We start from the raw sequence: 26,936 nt of genomic DNA, 5'->3' as shown, positions 1-26,936 counted from the left end.
AGACGTCAACTTTGCTGAATCTCAGTTGTTGGGATTTTTAGCAACCTGTTCCCACTCTCCTAAGAAAAAAATCTTAATAGTGACCAGTGTGTGCAGACTTTAATTTGTAAGTGAAAGTTACGGTGTTTCAAAAGTTGCAGGTTAGTTGGTAGAGCATTAAATGCAGTTTTGTTCATAGTCAACATTAAGTGCCCACTGTGTTAAACACTGTTAGATACTGTGAAAGAGAGAAGAATAAGGTAAGGAACTAGAGAGAGAGGGTAGATCTTTACAAGAGAGGATGTTTTTCAGGAGCTAGAAGAATACATTATTTATGTATTCAAATAATAAAGGGAAAGAAAGTACAGACAGAGTAGATAGGGGACATTTCTTGTAGGGGATCCAGGAGGACTTCACAGAAGAAGTATTATTTATTTCCATTAATGAATGAGAGTATTCATCTTCTCATAGAAGAAGCTATAATGATTCTATTTGTGGTCCTGACTGCCACACCCCTTATGATCATTAAGTTAATTTTAGAACCTTGGGAGGGACAGCTAGGAGGCAGAGGCTCTCGTTGCTGGCCAGCTGCCATTGTCAGTTTGAGAAGTCTCCAGTAGTCAGGAGGTGACAAGAGGATTGGCCCAGTTATTTTATTGCAGTTTAATTTCGTGACCCTTTCTTGAGTCTCTGCTATGTATTAGAACCACTGTGTAGAGACTAGGATAAATAAAACGGTATCTCCTCCATTTACTAATTAATGGAGGGTATAAACACACAATACAATTAAGTATAATATAAGGCAGAGGCTGGGCGCAGTGGCTTACGCCTGTAATCCCAGCACTTTGGGAGGCCGAGGTGGGCTGATCACCTGATGTCGGGAGTTCGAGACCAGCCTGACCAACATGGAGAAACCCCGTCTCTACTAAAAATACAAAAATTAGCCAGGCATGGTGATGCATGCCTGTAATCCCAGCTACCTGGGAGGCTGAGGCAGGAGAATCTCTTGAACCTGGGAGGTGGAGGTTGCGGTGAGCCAAGATCGCACCACTGCACTCCAGCCTAGGCAACAAGAGTGAAACTCTGTCTCAAAAAAAAAAAAAAAATAAATAATATATATGTATATGTATATGACAGAACAGTAATGGGATGTAGAGGCGTAAACAAAAGGCTGTGGAAGCACGGAGGAGGAAGCCATTGACATGGTGTTTTCTGGTGGAAATCAGTTAAGCCTTCATACAGGAAGTAATATTTGACTGGGCCTTGAAAATGAGTGATACTTTAAAGATGGAAAAGAAAGGAAAAGGCATGGTACAGAGAGGAAATAGCATGTGGAAGGCATGTAAACACAGGATGTGAATAGTCTAGTGATGCTAGCATGGCCAGGGATAAATTGGAAACATAGGATGGAGCTGGGTTGTGAAGGGCCTTAAATGACAATGCTGAGATGAAGACTCTTCTGTAAGTAGAAGGGAGGCAGCCCATGTTTTTTGAGCGAGGAGGTAACAGGATCTGGTTTGTGTAACTTTGTGCTATGAATGGATAGCTTAGGGGAAAATGAAATAGGAAGTAAGCAATAGCATCAGTCAAGCTAGGGATGATAAGAGTATGAACTGCAGTGGTAGAAATGGAAATAGAAAAGAGGAGGTGGAGTCAAGACACATGGAGTTGAAGCAGTAAGAGTTTTATTACCAGGTTGAAATGGGAAACGAGGGAGAAAGGACTTGAAGATGACTCCAGTGTTTCTAGTAACACAGGTGGTGATGTCACTAATGAGGGTAAAAGCACTGAAAGCGCAGGTATGACTTTGGAAAATGGTGGGTTTGAGGTGTTTCTTCCCAAGCAAGTATTGGGGATTCATGCCAAGAACTTAAGAGTGGTACCAGGGCCAGACATATAAATTTGGGGTATTTATATCAAATGCTGGTAGAAGTAGCGAGATTAAAAGAGTTAGCCCTGAGAAAACATAGAGCAAGGAGAGGCAGTTAAAATCAGCAGAGCCTGCTGAAAAACACCTTCTGTAGAAGGTAGAAAGAAGGAAAGCAAATAGCAAAAGGAGAGTTGTCAACAAGAGTAAAACTGGAAAAGAGAGGGACGGGTTTCAGAGAGTAGGTGGGTGCTTAACATTTTCAGATGCTGTGATTTCAGGGAGCATGGTGTCCCTGGGGCATGAGGGATTTCTAGCCTGTCACATGGGTACACATACATAAATAAAAGCATTTCTACACCAGAGACTCAATCCTTTGGCCAGCCATCCTTGCTCATTGTCTTAGTGTAGCTCCTGAAGACTCATCCCTGCTACCTCCCATCTGCTGCGTCTTGTAGCAGTAGGAGAGGGAGAGAAGAAGGGAGGAAAATTGAAGCACAAGGAGAGTTAAAATTAAAATGTAAGCATTCTTGCTTCAGTTTGTAAATAAGTTGCATATTCTTCCTTTTGAATAAACTACTTAATTATAATAATGTCACTTTGTCTAATTTTTAAATGGTCATAGATGTGTTTGTCATAAGAAGTAAATATAACATAAAAATTCTGGGTCCAAGCCAAAAGAACAAAGCTGGAGGCATCACACTACCTGACTTCGAACTATACTACAAGGCTACAGTAACCAAAACAGCATGGTACTGGTACCAAAACAGAGATATAGATCAATGGAACAGAACAGAGCCCTCAGAAATAACGCTGCATATCTACAACTATCTGATCTTTGACAAACCTGAGAAAAACAAGCAATGGGGAAAGGATTCCCTATTTAATAAATGGTGCTGGGAAAACTGGCTAGCCATATGTAGAAAGCTGAAACTGGATCCCTTCCTTACACCTTACACAAAAATCAATTCACGATGGATTAAAGACCTAAACCTTAGACCTAAAACCATAAAAACCCTAGAAGAAAACCTAGGCATTACCATTCAGGACATAGGCATGGGCAAGGACTTCATGTCTAAAACACCAAAAGCAATGGCAACAAAAGCCAAAATTGACAAGTGGGATCTAATTAAACTAAAGAGCTTCTGCACAGCAAAAGAAACTACCATGAGAGTGAACAGGCAACCTACAAAATGGGAGAAAATTTTCGCAACCTACTCATCTGACAAAGGGCTAATATCCAGAATCTACAATGAACTCAAACAAATTTACAAGAAAAAAACAACACCATCAAAAAGTGGGCAAAGGACATGAACAGACACTTCTCAAAAGAAGACATTTATGCAGCCAAAAAACACATGAAAAAATGCTCACCATCACTGGCCATCAGAGAAATGCAAATCAAAACCACAATGAGATACCATCTCACACCAGTTAGAATGGCAATCATTAAAAAGTCAGGAAACAACAGGTGCTGGAGAGGATGTGGAGAAATAGGAACACTTTTACACTGTTGGTGGGACTGTAAACTAGTTCCACCATTGTGGAAGTCAGTGTGGTGATTCCTCAGGGATCTAGAACTAGAAATACCATTTGACCCAGCCATCCCATTACTGGGTATATACCCAAAGGACTATAAATCATGTTGCTATAAAGACACATGCACACGTATGTTTATTGCGGCACTATTCACAATAGCAAAGACTTGGAACCAACCCAAATGTCCAACAATGATAGACTGGATTAAGAAAATGTGTCACATATACACCATGGAATACTATGCAGCCATAGAAAATGATGAGTTCATGTCCTTTGTAGGGACATGGATGAAATTGGAAATCATCATTCTCAGTAAACTATCGCAAGAACAAAAAACCAAACATCGCATGTTCTCACTCATAGGTGGGAATTGAACAATGAGAACACATGGACACAGGAAGGGGAACATCACACTCTGGGGACTGTTGTGGGGTGGGGGGACGGGGGAGGGATAGCATTGGGAGATATACCTAATGCTAGATGACGAGTTAGTGGGTGCAGCGCACCAGCATGGCACATGTATACATATGTAACTAACCTGCACATTGTGCACATGTACCCTAAAACTTAAAGTATAATAAAAAAAAAAATTCTGGGTCCAGCTGAGTAGGCTTACATGTGTTTCCTGATTCTAATGTGGTCTTAACATCATCCAGTTTCATTTGCATTCTTTTTTTTTTTTGGAGACGGAGTCTTGCTCTGTCGCCCAGGCTGGAGTGCAGTGGCGCCATCTTGGCTCCCTGTAATCTCTGCCTCCCAGGTTCAAGCAATTCCCCTGCCTCAGCCTCCCGAGTACCTGGGACTACAGGCGCACGCCACCACGCCCGGCTAATTTTTTGTATGTTGGTGGAGAGGAGGTTTCAACATGTTGGTCAGAATGATCTCCTGACCTCGTGATCCGCCCACCTCGGCCTCACAAAGTGATGGGATTACAGGCATGAGCCACTGCCCCCAGGCCCATTTGCATTCTTAAAGGAACAAGTACCACTCGCTTTATTCTGCCTAGGTTTATGAAGGGAGCAGTACTATTTTTGCTGACATAAACTGATCATGTTTATATTTCAGCTCATCTATATCTCTGTTTCACTATTATTGTTTTAAGTGTCTGGCTATGTGGTTTCTAAATGTTCTCTTTTTGCATTTAATATTCAGACAATGATTTGGAATCTTTAGTGACTAGAGACTAGTGTTTGCTCAGTTATAATAAAAGGTTACAATAATACGAATTATGTCCATTTGCCTTTCTAGATTTTGGTTTCAGTAACCTCTTCACTCCTGGGCAGCTGCTGAAGACCTGGTGTGGCAGCCCTCCCTATGCTGCACCTGAACTCTTTGAAGGAAAAGAATATGATGGGCCCAAAGTGGACATCTGGGTAAGTAACTGCCTTCTCTTATACCCCACAGCATTAGCTACCCTTGGTTGATGACAGCTATTCGCATCCTGAAGGATACATAATGATGCAACATGAATTGAGATCCTGGTCACCTGTTCTTTCAAGTCCCAATTCCTGTGCAAAGCCTTTTTTTTTTTTTTTTTTTGAAACAGAGTCTCACTCTGTCGCCCAGGCTGGAGAGCAGCAGGATGATCTTGGCACACTGCAACCTCCACCTCCCAGGTTCAAGTGATTCTCCTGCCTCAGCCTCACAAGTAGTTGGGATTACAGGCACAAGCCACCACACTTGGCTAATTTTTTGTATTTTTAATAGAGACAGGGTTTCACCATGTTGGCCAGGCTGGTCTCAAACTCCTGACCTCAGGTGATCCTCCCGCCTTGGCCTCCCAAAATGCTGGGATTATAGGCATGAGCCACTGCACCCGGCCTACTCGTGCAAAATCTTTCCTCCAATACTTACCTTGTGGACTGAGCCACATATTTCAAATTTCCCCTTTGCATTTGCAAAAGAAGCCCAAGGGCCAGCTTGGATGGGGGCCGTTGCCAAGAAGAGAGATTATTTCTACTGTGGCCACTTACCTTATCCCCAGAGAATGAGTACTGAGAAAAATTCAGGATGTTACCCTAAATTAATGCCTAGAAGCAAAGAAGATTGTTAACTGTTCTAAGATGGAAGAAAAAGTTTGTTCCATAATCGTATGCATGACTCACCATCATCTGCATACACACACTACAGTAGTCTTTTTTGTTTCCCCTGATGTGATTAATTGTACATCCTCTCTGTTTGGGATGCAGAGCCTTGGAGTTGTCCTCTACGTGCTTGTGTGCGGTGCCCTGCCATTTGATGGAAGCACACTGCAGAATCTGCGGGCCCGCGTGCTGAGTGGAAAGTTCCGCATCCCATTTTTTATGTCCACAGGTAAGGGAGTCGCTAGCACACAGCTATGAATGGGTTCATGAAAGTTAGACCCACTCAGTTATCCCAGGAATTTAGTGATGGAGTATAAATGGCCCACTTACAACCTTTTTTAACTCCAGCTTGCTGACCTGATGCCTCCAGGAGGCAAGGTTCTGTAGAAACAGTATATAGGTTTTGGCATCAGAGAGCCCTACTTGGGTTTGAATCTGGGCCCTAAGTCTGTCTCAGCTTTAGTGTCCTCATCTATAAATTGGCTGAGAGTTTTGTGAGGGCTGCTATTACTGTAAGGATTAAATGAGATAATGTATGTGAAGACTCAGTAGGCCCATGGCATAGCAGTAATGCAATAAATGCTTTTGTTTCACTTCTGTCTTCCTACCCTTTTTCAGGATATTTCCACTTATTGGGTTCTCATTGCAATGTGGTTTTAAATGCCAAGGATAAAGTAGGCTTTGCATCTTAGTCTTGCTACTGCTTCATTTCCTATTTCTGTGCTCTTTGTCCTCCAGAATCAAATTTAAAAAATTTTATTTAACGAGTGGGCAGTAAGGTAGGCAGGTCTTGGAAAAATTTAACACCGAAAATAGATACAAGATACTCAGAATTAACAGTATTTTATCACCATTTATTTGCACATAAGAAGGGAACATTTTAGAGAACGCAAAAAGTCATATAGTTTTGCTTAATCATCTGTTTTCATTTTAAGGAAGAACATGTGTCCACTGGGTTGACAACAAGGTAGAAGCCCATGGTAATTGCATTTTAGAACAAAGAGGTGAACCTTGGAGTAGATTTAACTTGGCTCCTTTGAACTGATAACGTCATAGTGTAGAAGATAGTGCTAAATGCTGTGGGACAAATAAAATAGAGAAGGAGTTAGGATAGTGGTTGGTAAGTTACATGAAAACCCCTTCATGGAGAAAGGGACCTTTCAGCAAAGCCTGAAAGAAGGTGAGGGTGAATGCTGTGCAGTCCGGGGAAGAGCACCCCCTGGCTGTTGAGGGGTCAGCGCAGAGGCCGCGGGGATGGAGCATGGCTGCATGTGAAGGAACGGGAAGGAGGCCTGCGTGCCTGGAAGGAAGGAGCGGTGAGAGATGAGGAAGAGAGATGAGGTCAGAGAGGTAAGAGGGAGCTTAATTTTAGGGCCTAGTTAATGTAAAGACTTTAGATTTTACTGTGACTGAAGTATACAGGATTGGAGGGTTTTGACAGGAGTGATGTAATCTGAGTTTTATTTTTTCCAAATTTTATGATGAAAAATTTCAAACATACAAAAAAATTGAAAAATTTTGCAGTGACTTTTGTTTAAAAAAGATCACTTTGGCTGCTATGTTGCCGGTAGGCTAAAAGGTACAAAGGCTGAAGGAGGGACACCAGTTAGGAGGAGACTTTTACAATAGTCCAGATAAGAGATGTTGGTGGCTGGTTCCCAGTCTGGGGTGTCGAGATGGAGATGGTAAGAAGTGATCAGATTCAAGAGATGCTACCTACCATGTGTGGCAGGCACTGTTCAAAGCACTTCACAAACATTAACTCACTTCATTATTTTAACAACCCTATGAGATACACAAGATTATTGTCTCCATTTTACTGGTGATAAAACTGAAGCCAGGAGAGATTAGGCAATTTTCCCAAGATAACACTGCTACCAAGTGGCTGAAGTAGAATTTGAACCCAGGTATTTTGGCTCCAATAACATTTAGTGTTGGATTTGATATGAAAGAAAGACTCCAGAGTTTCTATCCTGAGCAAATGGAAGGATGGTTTTACTGCCAACTGAGATGGGGATGACTGGGGAAGAATACTTACATTTTGGAGAGATGTTTTAGACATGTCATGTTTGAGGTGCACATTAGACATCAGAGTTAAGATATGAATTGGCAGTCGCATTTAGGAGAGAATTCTGGGTTGGGGATGTATGTTTGGAATCCCCAGTGTATAGATAATAGTTAAAGCCATGAGGTGAGCTCACTTTTTAGGCAGTGGTTACAGAGAAGAGAAGAGGTCCATGAATTAAACTCTGGAACATACCGCTATTTAGAGAACAAGCAGGTGAAGAGGTATCATAAGAGTTGCTGGTGAGGTAAGCCAGAGGGCCTGCTGTCCTAGGAGACAAGTGAAGAGACTGTTCCCAGGAGGAGGGAGGAGGGAGTGAGGAGCTGTGGGGAGTGAATGCTGCTGCCAAGTCAGGTAAGAGGACTGAGAACTGAATGTTGCATTTAGAAATGTGGAGATCGTTAATGATTTTGTTTCTTTTTTATCCCCCCACACCCTCACCTTCCTAGATCATTAATGATTCTGAAGTACACTTTTGGCAGAGGAACAGGAGCAAAAGCTTAATCATGTGGTTGCAACAAAAAAGGAATAGAAGGAAAATAGACGACACGCTCTTTCCAGTTTACTATAAAAGGAAGCAGAGAAGTGGTCCAGTATTGCTCTGGCCAGGGTCACCAGTGATCTCGTTATTGATCAACTGCATATCCTTAGTCTTTTTCTTAATCACTGCCCAGCAGTGATTAACACTTCACCCTTGCCCTCCCTCCCTCTCTCCTTTCCTCCCTTCCTCCCTAACTCCCTTTTTTGGGACTGGGTCTTGCTCTGTTGCTCAGGTTGGAATGCAGTGGTGTGATCGTGGCTCACTGCAGCTGGACCTCCCAGGCTCAAGTGATCCTCCCTTAGCCTCCCAAATAGCTGGAGCTGCAGGCACACACCACTATGCCTGACTAATTTTTTTTTTTGGTAGAGATGGGGTTTTGCCATGTTGTCCAGGCTGATCTCAAACTCTTGAGTTCAGGCGATCTGCCTGCCTTGGCCTCCCAAAGTGCTGGGACTATTGGTGTGAGCTACTGTGCCCTGTCTCTTTAGAGTTATATGTTAGAGCAGCTTTAGATTCACAGCAGTATTGAGTGGAAGGTACACAGTTTGCATGTACCCTCTGTGCTGTCCTGCCTCCCTCCCCTGCTGACCCCTGTCATAATCAATGTGCCCCACCAGAGTGGTATGTTTGTTACAATCAATGAACATGCATTGACACATTATCACCCAAAGTCCATAGCTTACATTTGGGTTTTCTCTCAGTGTTACACATTCTGTGGGTTTTGGTAAATGTATAGTGACATGTATTCACCACTATAATACATATAAAATTGTTTCACTGCCCCCAAATCCTCTGTGCTCTGCCTGTTTATCCATTTCTCCCTAACCCCCTGCAACTACTGATCCTTTCACTGTCTCCACAAGTTTTTCCTTTTCCAGAATGTCATATGGGTAGAAACATACAGGATGCAGCCTTTTCAGATTGGTGTTTTTCAAATAGTAATATGCAATAAGGTTCCTCCATGTCTCTTCATGGCTTGAGAGCCCGTTTCTTTTTAGCACTGAATAATATTTCCTTGCCTGGATGTACCACCCTTTATCCTTTCACCTACGGATGACTTGGTTGCTTCCAAATTTTGACAATTATGAATAAAGCTACTGTAACATCTTTGTGCAGGTTTTTGTGTGGACATAAATTTTTAATTCATTTGGTTAAACACTAAGGAGCACAATTCCTGGATCATATGGTAAGAGCATGGATAGTTTTGTAGGAAACTGCCAAACTGTCTTCCAAAGTGGCTATGCTATTTTGCATTCCTGCCAGCAATGAGTGAGAGCTTCTGCTGCGCCACATCCTTGTCAGCATTTGGTGGTGTCAGCATTTTGGATTTTGGCCACTCTAATAGGTATATAGTGATATTTCATTGTTGTTTTAATTTTTAATTCTCTAATGATGTATGAGGATGAGCATCTTTTCTTATGCTTATTTGCCATCTATATATCTTTGTTGAGGTGTCTCTTCAGGTCTATTGGTCGTTTTTAACTTCAGGTTGTTTTATTTTCTTATTGTTGAGTCACTCATTACATTTTAAAACACTTTTTCTCATTGCTTCTGAGACGCCATATTCTCCAGTTTTCCTCCTGTCCTCTGGAAGCACCTTCTCCATCTTCTCTACCAGACTTATTTTTCTCTGCTCATCCTTTAGATCTTTTCATCTTTACAACATCTTTCTGGAGCCATGTTATTTACTGCTGTAGCTTCACTGATCACTGTGGTGATCAGTCCTCAGTTAACTTTTTGTCCCAGACCTCTCGATCTAGGGCGACATATCCAAGTATTTGCTAACCATTATCTTCACTTTCATGTATTGAAGTCAGATCAATGGAGACATATTCAGAAATGAACTTGACTTCCCCCTCCCTAGATTTGCTCTATTCTGTATTTGCTGCCTTAGTGAATAGCATCACCATCTGACCAAGGCCAGCACAAGCCTTGATGTTTCCTCTCTCACCAGTGCCACAGCTGATCAGTTACCAAATCCTGTCAATTCAACCCTCCATTCATGTAGGCACTTCTAAGACCATACTATCATCTTCCCTTGCCTCAATTAAACAATAGCCAATTATATGGATTCCTGGCTCCAGTCTTGTCCCCCTCTAATCTATTGTCAACTTTGCTACATGACTAATCTTTCCAGAACACAAACATATAAATAAATAAAACATACCACACACACACATACACGTACATTTTCTCTCTCTTTCTCTCTCTCTTACTTAAACACACAAATCTGATTATATCATTTTCTAGCCTGAAACTTTTCAGTGGTTTACCATTGCCTCTAAGGTAAAGTTTACTCCATAAGGTGGCAAAGCATTGGCTTACAAACATTTTTGGCTATGATAAGAAAAAAGTACATTTTATACTGTGACCCAGAACACGCATATATAGATACAAATGAACAAAAGCTTTGTTTGCTTGATTTAGAGATGGGGTCTTGCTATTTTGTCCAGACTGAACTCGAACTCCTGGGTTCAAGTGACCCTCCTGCCTCAGTCTCCCAAGTAGCTGAGACTAGAGGCGTATACCACCATGACTGAAAACAAAAGACTTTTTTTTGAGACGGAGTCTCGCTCTGTCACCCAGGCTGGAGTGCAGTGATGTGATCATAGCTTCCTGCAATCTCCAGTTCCTGGGCTCAGGCAGTCCTCCCACCTCAGCCTCCCAAGTAGCTGGGACTACAGGCAAGCACCAAGCACCATCATGCCCGTCTAATTTTTAAACATTTTTTTATAGAGATGGACTCTCTCTCTGTTGACCAAGCTGGTCTTGAATTCCTAACCTTAAGCGATCCTCCCTCCTTGACCTCCATGAGCCACTGCGCCCAGCCAGCAAACAATTTTTTTAAAAAAGCAAAACTTACCTTACTATGTACAGTGCATTTCAATATATTTTATTCTATTCCATTTTAAAAAATGCTGATTTCGACTTACTAAATTGATCTCCTATCTGCTATTTCAGAAACAATGACATAGAAATACCTTTATAACCTGACTCCTGCCTAGCTCTTCAGCCCCAGCTCCCACTCTCCCACCAGTCACCCTAATTTTCTTCTCGTTCCCTGAACAAGTTCTGTTTTCTGGAGCATTTCCCACTGCCGAGAATACATCTTCCCTATCCCACCCCACTCCACCCACTCCTGTATTCTAGAATTCAGAATAAAAAAAATTAGATTGGATAGAAATAAGAATCTAGATAATTTCTATTCACTCTTCATGTCTCTAAACTTTCTCTTATCGTGGTGCTTACCAAGCTTTATATTGTAACTACTTCTTTCATTGTATGTCTTCCACACCAGACTGAACTTAGTGAAAGTACAGACGAAACATGTCTTTTTCACAACTGTCAATAACCTACCACAGGATCTGGTGTGTAGTAGGACTTAGTAAATATGAAATCTGAATCAGAACCACCCCATCCCCAGTGGCATTTGTTTACATTCAGAATAAAATTCAAGGAGTCATTATTACTATGGCCTACAAGGCACAGCTGTCATTGCCCCTTCTTTGGTCTCATTTCCTGTTACTGTTCACCTCCGGTTCTGAGCTCCAGTCACAGGGCCTTCCTTGCTGTTTCTCAGACTTGCCAAACACATACATTCCCCTCAGAGAGGAGTCATAGGTCCCCTCAGAGAGGCCTGTCCTGGCTACCCCCATCATTCTCTTTCTGTAATTCTGCTTTTTCTTCATAGCACTTACTTTATTGTCTCCTCACCTCCTATCACCACTTGACCATAATAAGCATTTGGTTTTTGTTTACTGTTATGTTCCCAGGGCTTTGGACGGTGCCTGAGTTCTAGTAGGCACTCAGTAAATATTTGTTGAATGAATTAATGCATAGGGTTGTTCGAACACTGACTCCAAAAGCCCCTCTGGAGAGTAGTCTTATCCAAATCATAATATCAGTAGTAATATCAAATAATTACATTTGTTTAGGGCTTTTGAGTTTATAAAATAATTTCTTTTTTAATAGGTTTATTTTTTGAGACAGGATCTCTGTCGCCCAGGCTGGAGTGCAGTGGCGTGATCTTGGCTCACTGCAGCCTCCGCCTCCTGGGCCCAAGCCATCCTCCCACCTCAGCCTCCTGAGTAGCTTGGTCTACAGGCGCACGCCACCACGCCCACCTAATTTTTGTATTTTTTTGTAGAGATGGGATCTTATTATGTTGCCCAGGCTGGTCTTGAACTCCTGGACTCAAGCAGTCCGCCCACCACGGCCTCCCAAAGTTTTGGGATTACAGGTGTGAGCCACTGCACCCAGCCAATATATTTTTTAAAAATATTTCAATTTTTCAGTTTTTATATTTTTGGCGACAGGGTCTTGCTCTGTCACCTAAGCTAGAGCCTAGTGGTATGACCATAGCTCACTGTAGCCTCAAACTCCTGGGTTCAAACAACCCTCCTACCTCAGGCTCCAAAGTAGCTAGGACTATAGGCCTGTGCCACCATTCCAAGCTAATTTTTTAAAAGATTTTTTGTAGAGATGAGTCTCACTACATTGCCCAGTCTGGTCTTGAACTCTTGGCCTCAAGCAATCCTCCCACCTTGGCCTCCCAGAGTGCTGGGATTATGGGCAGAAGCCAGCATACGCAACCTAAATTATTTTCTTTTACTTAATCTAATTTGAGCTACATAACTATATTTTAGAATAGGTAATAGCACATATTTTATCATCTTGCTGATGAAGTTTTGGAAGCTGAAGTTTAGAGAAATGAGTTAACTTGCCAAAGCCACACAGGTAATAAGTAACTAGGTCAGTATTCAAATTTAGTGTTTGTTTTACTACACCATACTGTTGCAAAAAGAGCAAGATAAACCACTTCCTTTACTTTTCCAATGTCCACAGTGTTTCCTGTGAGCAACTTGGATCTTTTCTATCCTCCACCCCCATCACCTCACACCATGGCAAGAGATTCTTACTGAACCCTTCCCGGAGCCGGCTTCAGATAGGGGGTCCTAGAAAACAGCTAAGCATGCTGTCAGCCACACTGTCTATTAGTGCTTAGAAATAAACTAACAGTCTAACTGCTTAGAACTATTATTTGTAATATGATGTTAGTTAACCTGAAAGCTTCAAGACTCAGAGAAAGCCAACAGGATTATCCTAAACGTAGTCGCTCTTTAATCCCAGTTAAATAATTCCCTAAGTAGCAATACAAGTTTTTGTATGATTAGTACAGAGAATGAGAAACAACCAGGGTAGGAAGTCAGTAGATACTTGCTATATTACCAATATGATCTCTCTGGCCCTTGGTAATATACATGTGCTTGGCATTGCTGAATGTCATAGGCCTAAATCCCAAGGCCCATTAGAGAATACTTCAAAAGGATAAGGCATAGCAGAAAATGAATTCATCGGTTATTTAGGCTTTTCTTAGCTTAGACAACCTTCAAGTACCAGAAAGTGTCAGGTGAAGGAAGTTTAGAGTCTGTCCCAGAGTCCTTTTTCTGCTTACGCCTCGTGTTTCTGGGCACAGTTGTATCTCAGTAGACCTGGAGCATAGTCTTCTGATGGAGGCGAGTGCTGGCTGCTTTTCAGCCTGTGAGGCCAGCTGCTATTGCTGTATTACGGGAGATAGCGTGATTGAGAGAATTCCTTATGCACAAGATCCTTCCTTTTCTCAGCTGTTGTCATAGGCTTGAGCTGAGTTTATCTGTTTTTCTTCCTGAAGGGTCTAGAAACTCCAGCAGAGCTGGTATAGTGTTCTAAATGATCACTTGGAAGACCAGAGGGCAAAGCCTCTACCATGTAGCTGCTTCTAGCCAAGTTGAATTCCAGAGTAGCTACATACAGCTGTGTGGGAGGCCATGCTCTGCAAATGGATATAGTTAGCTCAAGAATTCTAAGCTGCTCTCTATTGTCAGTAATGTGTGGAATGAAGTATCCTCACAATTCATGTATATTTCTATGCCTGGTGTTGTTTGTTTGACACAAGTTTCCTTTCATAGGCATCCTGAGATGTACTAAAGACATATATTTTCAAGTTGGAATGACAGTGGCATACATTTAAAAGAGGATTTATTTGAGGCTAGGTTGATTGTATACCACCTAGTTTTTATAATTATGTATGTGTCTTCCTCCTCTCCCCACTAGAATGTAAGCCTCTTGATTATCAGAGCTGTGTTTTACACTCAATACCTTCCATAAAACCTGACAGCCCCTGGTAAGACATAAGCATTCAGTAAGTGTTTTTGAATGAAAAACTGAGTCATCACTACTTAACTATGGAATCTTATATCAGACTCTTGTTTTTTTTTTTTTTTGGGAGACAGATTTTGCCGCCCAGGCTGGAGTGCAGTGGTGCGACCTCAGCTCACGGCAACTTCCGCCTCCTGGGTTCAAGTGATTCTCTTGCCTCAGCCTCCTGGGTGGCTGGGACTACAGGTGCGTGCCACCACACCCAGCTAATTTTTGTATTTTTAGTGGAGACGGGGTCTCGTCATGTTGGCCAGGCTGGTCTTGAACTCCTGGCCTCAAGTGATCTGCCCGCCTCGGCTTCCCAAAGTGCTGGGATTACAGACGTGAGCCACCGTGCCCTGCCAGACTCTTGTATTATATTATTAACATGATCTAAATTATTTATTCATCAAACCACTTGGTTTTATATACTTTTTTTTTTTTTTTTTTTTTAGTGTAGAGACAAGATTTTCATCATGTTGCCCAGGCTGGTCTTGAACTCCTAGGTTCAAGCAATCCGCCTGGCTCTGCCTCCCAAAATGCTGGGATCATAGGCGTGAGCCATCACGCCCAGCCATGGTTTTATGTAGTTTTGTTATATGAGTTATTGTGAAGGTGACCAAGTCAAATGACTTTTAGGTGTAAAAGGGTGTTTTGATCTACTGTAGAGTTTGCTTCCTATTCCTTAAGTAAAATAAGTTTGATCCAGGCCAGTGTTTTTGGATTAAACTTCTCAGAGCATCCCAAAGAGCAGTTTGATAAAACCCTGAGTCTAAATTATAGAAGGATTAAAAGTTGAAACTTGCTGTTTTCTTGAGCTGTTGTGGAAGGTGAAACCTGGCCTGGCTTCATGTGTTGGCAAATATTTCCTCTGATCTGCCCTTCCACCGATGGATGCAAATAACTTAAATTTTTTGAGCACCAGATTCATTCAATATATTTTTTTAACAACATACTTAAAGCCTAGTTTACCCTATTCCCCTGTTGTACCACCTGCTAGCAGACATACTAAGATCGTTTATTTAACTGAAGGAAAATTAATTTACAGTGAAAAAACTGCAGCGTTAGTGAAGGCATAGAGATCTCTTGTGGACAATATTTTTGAGTCTTTATTGATTAGACTTCATTGTGACTTAATTAATTGTAATACTGCATGAGCATTTTATTACTGGGAACGCAAAACCCAGGCTTACATAATGCTTCTGATGGAGAATGTAACCTGCAGCTACTGCCAAAAAGCTTCTACTTAGAGGCAAACAACTCTGCCCTGATAGGCTTACTCATCAAGAACCACACAGCATCTTGCTTGGCTAAAAGCACTTTGTTTAGAACCAATGGGGCAAGGGATTAAATTGGCTCACCCACCAAGTCTCCATATACCGAGGGGCTCAGAGTCCTCAAAGCAGTTTTCTCATACCTTTTGAGACACACTGCACCGCCAGAGAGAAAAATCTATGTAGTGCTTTCATGTCAGTGAATGTAGAAATCACAGCTGATGTCAGAAAAGAGGTTAAGAACTACTTCAGAGTGAAACAGGCCAGCCGTGTTCATTCCCATGACCTAACATAACTAAAAACCAGTAGATAAATAGTGGTACTGCCCTATTTATTATTAGCCTTTTCAAACCAGCTGTCTCCTGGCTTATGGCAACCCTAAATAGAAAAATAAAAGAAGGACATTCCAAGTGGAAGGACTTCAGAGATATGGATAATAGTCAACATTTATTGACCACTTTCTATGTACCAGGCACTGTTGCATTACCTTATTTAATGTTCAGAACAACTGTCTGAGGTAAGCTGTTTTATGAGGTAAACTGTATGAGAGGTTATTTGATAAATAAGAAAACTGAGGCATGATAAGGTTAAGTAACATGCCCAAGATGCACATCTAGTAAGTGGCAAAGCTGAGATTTGAACCCAGGCAGTCTGGCTTCAGAGACCATCTAACCATATGTGTTTGTATTTTCATTCTCAATAAATACATAGTAAGTTAGTCCAAGAATCAAGAGAGTCATAGAATGGATATATTTGTCTGCATCGGGATTACTTACTGAAAAACGAGTAGCAGGAACTCTGTATTGGACCTGGAGGCAGAATTTTCTTAAACTGTAATGACTGATACTAGGAGTCAAAAGATACTAGAATGTAAACCACAAGATGGACAGCCTCCTGTAAAACAGTATAGCAAGCCAGGATCTTTTCAGGGTTGGGCTAGAGCTAAATCTTGGCATCCCTACCCTTTAGGCCAGGATTTCCTGATTTCTGAATTTTAATTCTGGCAGCATCATGCCCACCTAGAAAAACTGATCGAAAGTAAGGAAGTTCAAGAAATAGGTGTCATTTTTCTAATAAATGGATATACATGGGTCAAAACCTTTTCTTTGTGGTCTGTCTCGGGTTGATAAACTTGGTAAAACTGAAGAGAAAAGCCTCTCAGTGCATGTTTATTGATTCCTAAAGAAACTTTTCTTATGGGCTCCATCTCTTTGCGAAAGTGTTCCAGGCCATCTCCCTATGGCCTCTATGTTCAGTCACTGAAAGTGTCTCACAGAATTTAGAGATATAAAGAACTTTATTTCTATTCCAGGATATTCTGATTACAATAATTTGCAGAAACCACTAGGGTTGGAATTTATAGTTAAATGGATAATTCTCCACCTTCTTTTCTGATATCTTACTGTTGGAATATCATTTTTGAAATTTTACTGAAGTGTGGGACTTCCATTTTTCTTCCCCCGAGCAACTGAAAATAAATGTTTCAAAACATGACAGTTTTTTCTTAGTGCCATTGTGTCAAGAGAAGCTAATCTCAATGCTTATTTTTTATGAGTCGGATCTTACTGCAGTCAGTGCTGTCATAGGTTAAGTTCCAAGGTTGTGTATTTTCTTTGTTTGTGTAAAACTGTGGCATTGACTACATCCTTGTCAGGCTTGGTGGCATGCACCTGTAATCCCAACAACTCAGGAGGCTGAGATGGGAAGATTGTTTGAGGCCGGGAGATCAAGGTGGCCAGCCTGGGCAACATAGCAAGACCCTGTCTCTAAAAAATAAAAATAAAAAAAATAGCCAGATGTCACTTTGGGAGGCCGAGATGGGCAGATCACGAGGTCAGGAGATCAAGACCATCCTGGCTAACACGGTGAAACCCCACCTCTACTAAAAATACAAAAAATTAGCTGGGCGTGGTGGCATGCACCTGTAGTCCCAGCAACTCAGGAGGCATATTATCGTTTATGAGGCAGGATAATCATTTGAACCCGGGAGGCGAGGTTGCAGTGAGCCGAGATCGCACTGCTACACTCCAGCCTGGGCGACAGAGCGAGACTCCATCAAAAAAAAAAAAAAAAAGCCAGATGTGGTGGTGTGTGCCTGTAGTCTCAGCTACTGGAGAAGCTGAGGCAGGAGGATCACTTGAGCCCAGGGGTTCGAGGCTACAGTGAGCTATGATTGCACCCAGCCTGGCCAACAGAATGAGACTCCATTTCAAAATAAAAATAAATAACTAGTCCTTTAACTTGGTATTTAGAAATGTTTATTTCTATTATAGCAGTAATATGTCAAAATTTAATGTATAGAATAAAAGCATTCCAATCCTTATAACACCATTGTTCTAGCAGTACCCAAAATAACAAAATTTCAGTGCAACAACAAAATCCCTGTATTTTGTATTATTATAGTTAACATTTATACAATCTCTGAATGTATCTATAGGTTAGCACATTTACTGTATGTTATTTATATATACAAATGTCATTTTTTTTTTTTAAGACAGAGTCTCACTCTGTCACCCAGGCTGGAATGCAGTGGCACAATCTCGGCTCACTGCAACCTCTGCCTCCCGGGTTCAAGTGATTCTCCTGCCTCAGCCTCCTGAGTAGCTGGAATTACAGGCACACGCCACCATGCCTGGCTAATTTTTGTATTTTTAGTAGAGACTGTGTTTCACCATGTTGGCCAGGCTGGTCTTGAACTCCTGGCCTCAAGTGATCTGCCTGTCTCGGGCTCCCAGAGTGCTGGGATTATAGGCGTGAGCCACCATGCCGGGCCCAAATGTCTTATTTTGAGGACCATTTGTCTATTTGTTTACATTTTTAAATAGTGACTATGTTAAATAAATAGGTTTGATCTTAGCTGGCAGTTGACATTGACAGTGTTTCTTGAGCGTATTAATAAAACATCATTTTTAGGGCTTAGTCCACAAGCAGAGTGAAGATTCCTAACTCTGGCTGGCTTCTTAGCAAAAGAAGGTATCTTGGCAGAAAACACCCCTGGTTTCTTATTGATTTACTTTTTAATTATTTCTGCAGGGATCATAGCACTGCAAGATAGTCACACTGTTCTGTCCATGTTATAACAAGATCAGGACATTATAACAGACTTTATTTTCTTTTCATGAGGAAAAACAGCATGTTTTGTGTGCAGTTTGTCTTTTAGGAAAAGGCAGGCAGCATTAAAGAGGTGCTCTGAGACAAACATTTTTTAAATCCAGAACATCTAAAATACAGGGATAGACTCTTATCAAAGCCATGTGGCTCCATCCTGAGATTGCTGTTGCAGGCCATCCATTGGTCTTGTTCTGTTTGCTATAATAGCATCACTTCTCCCCCAGGGCTGGTACCCGAGCTGGACAAAGTGAGTGGATAACAGCATCAAGCAGTGTATTGCATAGCATCCTTGTTCTGAAAACTTTAAGACTTTAATGTCATTTAACTTTTAAAAGGTTTTTGTCAAGTAATTCATTTTCCATAGAAACATGTTTCAGAGATTTAATCGCCAATTTATTTTTGTTTCCTTTTTAGATTTTGAAATTTAGAAAAAATAGAACCCTCTTTGAAGTGAGAATTGTGCCAGAAGCAATTCATTACTAAGAAGTAAACATTTTTAAGAAGTTTGTTTAAATTATTGAAAATATAGAACTCTTGGGCTGGGTGCTTTAGAATTACCTTTGAACACACCTACCATTGACTGGACCAAGTACATAAGAAACTAGATCATCCCCTTCTTCTGAGCACCTGTAAGCAGCATGCACTTTCTTGCCTGCAAGAAAGCCTTTCTGTGCCTTCTGGTACACAGATGTCTTCTGTTTCCACCAGCTCAAAGCAGCTTTATGTGGTCAGAAAGAATCCATGACTCAGTTTCTTCTATGCCATTGCTCACCACAGAGCTGGAAAGGATTGTTTTGCCATGTTCTGTTCTTTGGTGTCACATGCAGGGTTTCAGGGACAAATGGCTTTCCCTCCTTCATAGGATCAGCCTGAAGAGTCTGATGATCTGGTTCCTTAAATTTTTACCTATCTCCTCTTATCTTTGATCCTTGATTCGGGAAGCCTTCTGTTTCAAGCCTTCCATCATAGTCTTCATCACCTTGCAACAACTAGAGTATATAAATAAGTTTGCTCTACCACAGTGTATTTAATCCTCACCAGCAAAATTATGAATAAGACAACGCTCCCCATTTAGTGTTCTCATGTCCCTGCCTCATTAATCCATCCAACTTGCCGTCTCCCCTTAAAGCTAGTTCTTGGTCTTTGCACCATCTATTTGCCTGGCCCATTTTGTACTAACCTAGCTTGTGGGTGATTCTGTCATGATGGAACCTGTGAAGATGACATGGCATCTGATCTGCCAGAGGAGAGAATTGTTTTGGTTTGTTTTCATAACCCAGAATACCAATAATGTGTTTATTTTAGGTACCATGTAGGTTAAGAGCTCCCTGGAGTAAGACTGACCAGAATTTGTATTCTGCTTTGGCCTCTTATTATCTGATCAAGTTTCTCAACTTCTCTGATTTTAAATTCTCTTTGTCTATAAAATTGAGATAATAGTATTGGGTTGGTTTGTGAAGTAGATGCTTAAATTAACTTAAAGGGTTTAGCACTTTGCCTATCATGTAAATGGTCAATAAATGTTAGTAATGATTAAATAATATTGTTGAATGAATTGCTCTATTAGTCTTTCATTCTCTTCTTCCCTATTTTTTTTACTCTTTTCTATGTATCTTTCTCTCATTTTTGCTCTCTTGGTATGCCAAAGGGACATTACTATTTTCAGTCAAATCCACACGGCTTATGGAGAAGACTTATCTCCCAAGAATTGTTTTGGTTTGTTGTAACCACTTAGAGAAATTTGTTTTATTATCAAGGACAAAAAAAAAGAAAAAAAATGTTGCTTTCACAGATACGGACTCACACTGGCTATGTCAACTTAATTCTCATTTTAGGACCCTGCCCATACAGCAGCTCTCTCCCCACAAAGTCATCCAAATGCCTGGCAGCGCAGCAGGGCAAGGCCTGTGCTGAACATCCTCTAGTTAACGTTCTGTTGGCAGATCAGGTTTCCTGGGCCCACAGTGACTCTCACTGCGGAGACCGCTTGGCGTCTTGCATGGAGCAGATGAAAGCAGCTCTGAAGGGAAGCTGCTTCTCTGGCACACACAAGCAGAGGAGCATATTCTTGCATTGCCCAAAGTGGTTCAGTTTCATTTAGCATCAGAGGCCCTGCCTTTTGGGTGGGAGCAAATAATGGGGCCCTTTTATTTTTTATTTATTTATTTATTTTATTTATTTATTTTTTTAGAGACGGAGTCTCGCTCTGTCGCCCAGGCTGGAGTGCAGTGGTGCGATCTCGGCTCACTGCAAGCTCCGCCTCCCAGGTTCACGCCATTCTCCTACCTCAGCCTCCCGGGTAGCTGGGATTACAGGTGTGTACCACCACACCCAGCTAATTTTTGTATTTTTAGTAGAAACAGGGTTTTACCATGTTGGCCAGGCTGGTCTCGAACTCCTAGCCTCAAGCAATCTGCCCACCTCAGCTTCCCAAAGTGCTGGGATTACAGACGTGAGCCACCATGCCTGGCCAACAGGGACCTTTTAGACAATAAAATAGAGTAGTTCTTGGTATCTGGAAAAGTTGATGTTTTGTTTAATGTGAGGGCTCCATCTTTCCATGCTTGTAAATTGAATGTCCTGTGGGTGATTGTGTTCTTAGGTTTGAGAGCATCTATTCCCCTCGTTTTCACCCTGTTTCCATGTTTTATGTAGAATGGTGTCTTCAAATCTCATCTGAATTTAATTTCATGAACTACATGACACTTAGGAAATATGAATTGATGATGATACTCTAGCTTTCTGCATTTTGTCATATTTTCCATCTGCACCACATATGAAAAATGTTAAATTTCTGTTCCTTGGCACGTTCGATATTATGTAGGATAGTCAAGATTAAAAAGCTCTTGCCCTTGACACTGTAACCAAGAATTGTTTTGGTTCTTAATCTGGGGCCTGTAGACACCAGGGTCTGGGGGATCTATGCAGGCTTCATAGGACATCGTTGAGTAGTCTAAAGTTACATGCAAGGTCTTGTGTATAAATTCTTGTGCAGATTTTTTTTTTTTTTTGGAGAATTTTCAAGGCATCTGAGGCCAAATAATGGTTAAGGATGACTGAATAGAGGTTTCAAGATCCTGAAATTGAACTAGATATATCTTCTAATTAGGAATTATTATGGTACTGTTTTTGGTTTGGTTGTGTGTGTGGTGGTGTTGTTGTTATTGTTGTTTGCTTTTAAGGAAATTGCCTTGGAAAAAATCTGTTTTAAAGCAAGCCTGTAACTGAACACCATTCAGCTTTGGTCATCTTATGCACTAAATTGTGTGTGGAGACCAAAGGAAAACAGGAGAGTGCCATCTAGAGGCCTTAACAACAGTTTGGTCCTAGCCTTCTCCCTACACAGGAGTCTTTAACAACTTCCTAAATTAAGAACACTTTTGTCCTCTTAAGTAACTGCAAACGATAAACATATGTGTCAATGACATTTATAATCTATACAGGTGCTGCTACAGTTGTGGCTCTAGCCTTACTACTCTGGAAATGTAATTTTAATAAAGCGTACTGTTGTAGATGGCATTTACTTTATTCTATAGGAATGTAGAAGTCTTTGAGATGTACACTGCATTTGAATATAGTTTTAATTGTAAAGCAACAACAAATTGATGCCTGATGTAAGAAATCATTTTGATATAGGAACTTTGTTGTATTATCTTTTGAAGTTAGAGTAAATTAAAATAAGAGTAATTTATCTTAGTTACTTGTAGTATTCTTTTCACAACAGTAATATAGAATGGTGTTTGCCAAATGGTATAGAAATTGAAGAGTTGAATTCACCCTAGAAAAGTAGATCAATTTATATCCATGTGGAGATGTATAATAGGGTAGTCAAGAGCACAGCTTAGAAGTCCCAACTTTACCATTTCTTTGCCATGTTGAATATGTTAACTTTCAAAATCTTGTTTCTTCTTCATTTATAAGTGGAGCTAATTATAGTCTCTAAGTTAAGGTTGTTGTGAAGGTTAAATGTAATAAAGTTGGTAAGCACAGTGCTTGGTATATCAAAAGTAGTTTTTTGTAATAATGTCTTACTGTTGTTGTTATTTTCACTGGCCAGTTTTGTTTTCAGGACGGTTGTGATTAAATAGAAGCAGAAAATTTAAAAACCTATAGAAAATTTTATTTTAAAAAAATTTTCACAATTACAATCTCATTTGATTAAATACTCAACAAATATTTATTTACATATTCAGTAGATATTTATGCAGCTCCTAAGTGTCTAGATATAATAACCATTTTAGGTACTGGAGAGTTGATACTGGGTACAACAGAAAGAAAGACATGGGCCTTGCATTGCAGTGGAGGAGTCAGACAATAAGTAAATACATAAACAAGATGGTTTCCCAAAGAAATCATTTGCGTGAAGACAATGAATGTGATGTAATAGAGAGTGACTGGAGGCCCATCTTAGAGTAGATGGTTAAAGAAGAGCTTTCTGAGGAAGTGACGTTTAAACTCTTACCTGAATGACAAGGAGCCAATCATATGAAGATCTGAGGAATGGCCATTTCCACTAAAGGAAAAAACAAACAAAAAAACACATGTAAAGGCCATTGGATGAGAGTGTGTTAAACATGTGCAAAAACTAGAAATGTGCATAGTGGCAGGAAACCAGGTCAGAGAGGGAAGTAGGGGGCCAAGCGCGGTGGCTCACGCCTGTAATCCCAGCACTTTGGGAGGCTGAGGCAGGCGGATCACTTGAGGTCAGTTGTTCGAGACCAGCCTGGCCAACATGGTGAAACCTCGCCTCTATTAAAGATGCAAAAATTAGCTGGGCGTGGTGGCACAGGCCTGTAATCCCAGCTGCTGGAGAAGCTGAGGCAGGAGAATCACGTGAACCCAGGAGGCGGAGGTTGCAGTGAGCCGAGATCGCACACTGCACTCCACAGCCTGGGTGACAGAGCGAGACTCTATGTAAAAAAAAAAAAAAAAGGGAGAGAGAGAAGTAGGAGCCTTGGAGGCCCAGGACTTTAGATTTCATTCTGAGGGTTATGGGAAGAGATTGGAGAGTTACAGGCAAAGTGGTGATATGCCCAAATTTATGCTTTGGAAAAATTCCTTTTGCCTCTCTATAGAAAACAGATTGTAATGGAGAAAGAATGGAAGCAGAAAGACCGGGTAGGAGACTTTTGCAGCGTGTAAGTCAGAAATGGTGGCTTGGATAAAGATGTTGAATTAATGGTTCAGTGCTGAATTAGTGTTGGGGGATTTGGATCCCCCAACAACTCTGCACCACAGGGGCAGGGTAGCATTGTGGTTAAGAGAACCAGGTGAAGAGTCAGGCTATCTGGTTTGACTTAATAGCCATGTGACCTTGACAAGTTTCTTTACCTCCCTGTGCCTGGTTTTTGCTATTCCTAAAATGGGAACAATGATAGTACATTCCTCCTAGGATTGCTGTGTAGATTAAATGAGGAAATAATAATTGTAAAATGCTCAGAAGATGCATCAATAGTGCTGTTTTGGTATCATCATCACTGCCTTCATCACAACTATTACTCTCATCACCCTCAGTAGCCACATTTTATAGATGAGAAAACTTAGAGGGTGGTTTTGAAATCAGAATATACGTTTCTTGATTTTGAATCCATTGTTCTTTCTGCAATGTAATCTGTAATACGAGCTCCCAGAGAAAAATTTCTATAGATCTGAATATCTGTAGCTCACAGCCCAGTTTTAAATACCTATGACTATTTAAATAACATTGAGAAGAAAATGATAAATAAGGCTAGCTGAATCCCAGGGCATAGGAGAGAAGTAGCCTGTGGCTCTCTCCCCACACACCTTGTGCCATCAGAAATTCAAGTTCCCTGAGTTTTGAAGAAGGGTATTGCACACCTAAGCCAAAAGCATTAGTATGCGCGTGGTGGTACATTTAGGAGGATAGAACTGAATATTTTGAGAACCTTGTAAGATACTGAATCTCTTTAGAGGCCATTCTACTCTTCATTACTTGTGTTAAATAGGGCCATATACATAATATAAATAAATGAAATCCATGGATTATCCCCAGACCTTTTCTGGTCAGCCTTTTGGTGAAGGCAACAACCAGACTACCACACTTGAGTTTCTTTTTCTCCACCTCTCTCTGCCTTTGCTTAGCCCCTTCTGGTGGCATAAGCAACAGAATAGGTAAGGATCAAAGAGCAAGAGAGACAAAATTAGAAGCAGGGAGTTGGATAGCCTCCCTGCTGGCTTTGCCCCTGGTTCCTCTACTCCCCTGGTGCCTCCCCTCACCAGAGACTGAAGGCAGGCTGTTTGTCCATTGCAGAATGTGAGCATTTGATCCGCCATATGTTGGTGTTAGATCCCAATAAGCGCCTCTCCATGGAGCAGATCTGCAAGCACAAGTGGATGAAGCTAGGGGACGCCGATCCCAACTTTGACAGGGTGAGCTGGGAACCGCTGCTGCAGGGGACTCCTCTGAAAGCTGCTGCAGCCTCCTTTGCATGTGATTGTAATCAGGCCATAACCTGAAAGGCGGACACTGGGAACAAACTATTATGTAACACTAAAGCAGCACGTGAAGCAAGCAAGAAGGAATGTAAAACCAGTTAAACTGCTGGAGAATAGTGATCATGGTTCCCTACCATGTGTCCCCAAATTATCGTCTGTTTTTGGCTTTTGAGATAGCACAGCCTGCAGTTCTGCAGCTTACCTACCATGGGGATGTCGCCTTCCTCTTGTCTTAGTGTGCTCAATTCAGTGGCTTCTGTAGCATGCTTTTATTTAAACCACTATGGCCATGCCAGGTATGCCAGGGAGCTCAGGAAACAGTGAGTTGTTGTCTGTTTACAGCTGATCACTCAGGGCTCTCTTCCTTAGACTTTGTCTGAGGCCAAAAATATCCCAAGCCAGAGGGCATGGAACAGGTTGGTCATTATATATGCTGTGCCACATTTGATGTGGTTAATTGGGGGGTTGACAGCTTCCTCCTTTTTATGTTACAGTTAATAGCTGAATGCCAACAACTAAAGGAAGAAAGACAGGTGGACCCCCTGAATGAGGATGTCCTCTTGGCCATGGAGGACATGGGACTGGACAAAGAACAGACACTGCAGGTATCTCCGAAGGAGTGGAGAACAAAGTGGGATGTAGCAGTTCCTCTAACCTGCTTTTTCCATTTTTCGCCTTCTCGGGAACTTGGGCCTTTTTTTTCCTCCTGTTTTTCTTCCTCTGCCCCTTCCTGGGCCTTGGAAAGAAGGAAAGAAGGTGCTTTGGCTAATGTTATTACTGAAAGGGTTCTGGTCATCAACATGCCATTTCACCAGGGTTTTGTACTCTTTTCCCTTCTCTCTTGGTAGTCATTAAGATCAGATGCCTATGATCACTATAGTGCAATCTACAGCCTGCTGTGTGATCGACATAAGAGACATAAAACCCTGCGTCTCGGAGCACTTCCTAGCATGCCCCGAGCCCTGGCCTTTCAAGCACCAGTCAATATCCAGGTGGGCAATAACTCCAGTGACCTAGTTCAGGACAAGTAACACCAGGGGGGTAAAGGTTAGCTGTTGCTCACTAACCCTAAGTCGAGAGTTTCTTGCTCTTCCTTACCTCTGTCTCCTCCCATTTGTCATCTCTTCCTTTGTCAGAGGCCAATCAAAGATCTGAACCTTTTTTGATGGAGAGGAGGGATGAGCAACAATAGTTGTGCCTTTTGTTTTTTTGAAGAAATAGCAAATCATGAGGCGATGCTATCCTCTTCACAGGATGCTTCCTTGTTGTGACTTCTAAGGGCCGATGAACCAAAAACTTTAGTAATCAGGGAAACATAGACTTTAGCAATCAAGACTACTTGGAAAGACTCATTATTTCTCTCTAGTGTTAAAGGTATGCGTGTATATGTATGTACTGCTTTCCAGGCGGAGCAGGCAGGTACTGCTATGAACATCAGCGTTCCCCAGGTGCAGCTGATCAACCCAGAGAACCAAATTGTGGAGGCAAGTAGCAACCTGTGGGAGCTGTCAGCTGAAACCACTTTCTTTGCCATATCCTTGCTTCCCTTCCTTCTGATTTCTAACTCGATGGTGTTTCCCTCCACCTCAGCCGGATGGGACACTGAATTTGGACAGTGATGAGGGTGAAGAGCCTTCCCCTGAAGCATTGGTGCGCTATTTGTCAATGAGGAGGCACACAGTGGGTGTGGCTGACCCACGGTGAGTATCCGGCCAACAGCCCTCACTAACACTGGGGCAAAGAATTGTCACCTGACTTTCAGTGTCTACCATGGCACATTTCCTACTACATTGTATCCCCAGAGGAGATCTAATCCAGTGGCCAAGTGGACAAATGATATGAT

The 26,936-nt window shown here is 41.5% G+C and overlaps 1 protein-coding gene across 17 annotated transcripts in view, besides 5 other annotated features; it reads left to right on the top strand.

Moving 5' to 3' along the window:
• The window catches only part of SIK3 (SIK family kinase 3), a 255,027-nt gene that overhangs the window by 196,478 nt on the left and 31,613 nt on the right, over positions 1-26,936 (top strand). For 12 of the 17 annotated variants that reach the window (XM_005271484.4, XM_011542722.2, NM_001366686.3 and 9 more), the window contains 7 exons: positions 4,634-4,758; positions 5,575-5,698; positions 24,909-25,027; positions 25,588-25,698; positions 25,942-26,085; positions 26,500-26,577; positions 26,684-26,793. In XM_005271484.4, coding sequence (XP_005271541.2) covers positions 4,634-4,758; positions 5,575-5,698; positions 24,909-25,027; positions 25,588-25,698; positions 25,942-26,085; positions 26,500-26,577; positions 26,684-26,793 — 811 coding nt within the window. Of the gene's footprint in view, positions 1-4,633; positions 4,759-5,574; positions 5,699-7,983; positions 9,191-24,908; positions 25,028-25,587; positions 25,699-25,941; positions 26,086-26,499; positions 26,578-26,683; positions 26,794-26,936 lie in introns of those variants that run through there. The other 5 variants (XM_017017424.2, XM_047426672.1, XM_005271482.5 and 2 more) reach the window with 2 other exon arrangements.
• Positions 441-641: a silencer, noted in NCBI's record as "peak1483 fragment used in MPRA reporter construct". NCBI's record gives its function as "represses an SCP1 promoter by STARR-seq MPRAs in K562 erythroleukemia cells {active_cell/tissue: K562}" and the evidence as "EXISTENCE:reporter gene assay evidence [ECO:0000049][PMID:32103011]".
• Positions 5,459-5,960: an enhancer, noted in NCBI's record as "OCT4 hESC enhancer chr11:116766707-116767208 (GRCh37/hg19 assembly coordinates)". NCBI's record gives its function as "activates a minimal SCP1, AML or CMV promoter by ChIP-STARR-seq in primed H9 embryonic stem cells {active_cell/tissue: H9 hESC(primed)}" and the evidence as "EXISTENCE:reporter gene assay evidence [ECO:0000049][PMID:30033119]".
• Positions 6,622-6,701: an enhancer, noted in NCBI's record as "active region_5558". NCBI's record gives its function as "activates an Ori minimal core promoter by ATAC-STARR-seq in GM12878 lymphoblastoid cells {active_cell/tissue: GM12878}" and the evidence as "EXISTENCE:reporter gene assay evidence [ECO:0000049][PMID:35858748]".
• Positions 11,324-11,383: an enhancer, noted in NCBI's record as "active region_5557". NCBI's record gives its function as "activates an Ori minimal core promoter by ATAC-STARR-seq in GM12878 lymphoblastoid cells {active_cell/tissue: GM12878}" and the evidence as "EXISTENCE:reporter gene assay evidence [ECO:0000049][PMID:35858748]".
• Positions 21,847-21,896: a silencer, noted in NCBI's record as "silent region_3926". NCBI's record gives its function as "represses an Ori minimal core promoter by ATAC-STARR-seq in GM12878 lymphoblastoid cells {active_cell/tissue: GM12878}" and the evidence as "EXISTENCE:reporter gene assay evidence [ECO:0000049][PMID:35858748]".

This window comes from Homo sapiens, chromosome 11 (genome assembly GCF_000001405.40).
Source record: "Homo sapiens chromosome 11, GRCh38.p14 Primary Assembly".
In the NCBI taxonomy this organism is placed as follows: domain Eukaryota; kingdom Metazoa; phylum Chordata; class Mammalia; order Primates; family Hominidae; genus Homo; species Homo sapiens.
The sequence above is the reverse complement of the archived record's forward strand: the minus strand, read 5'-3'. Positions and strand labels throughout refer to the sequence as shown.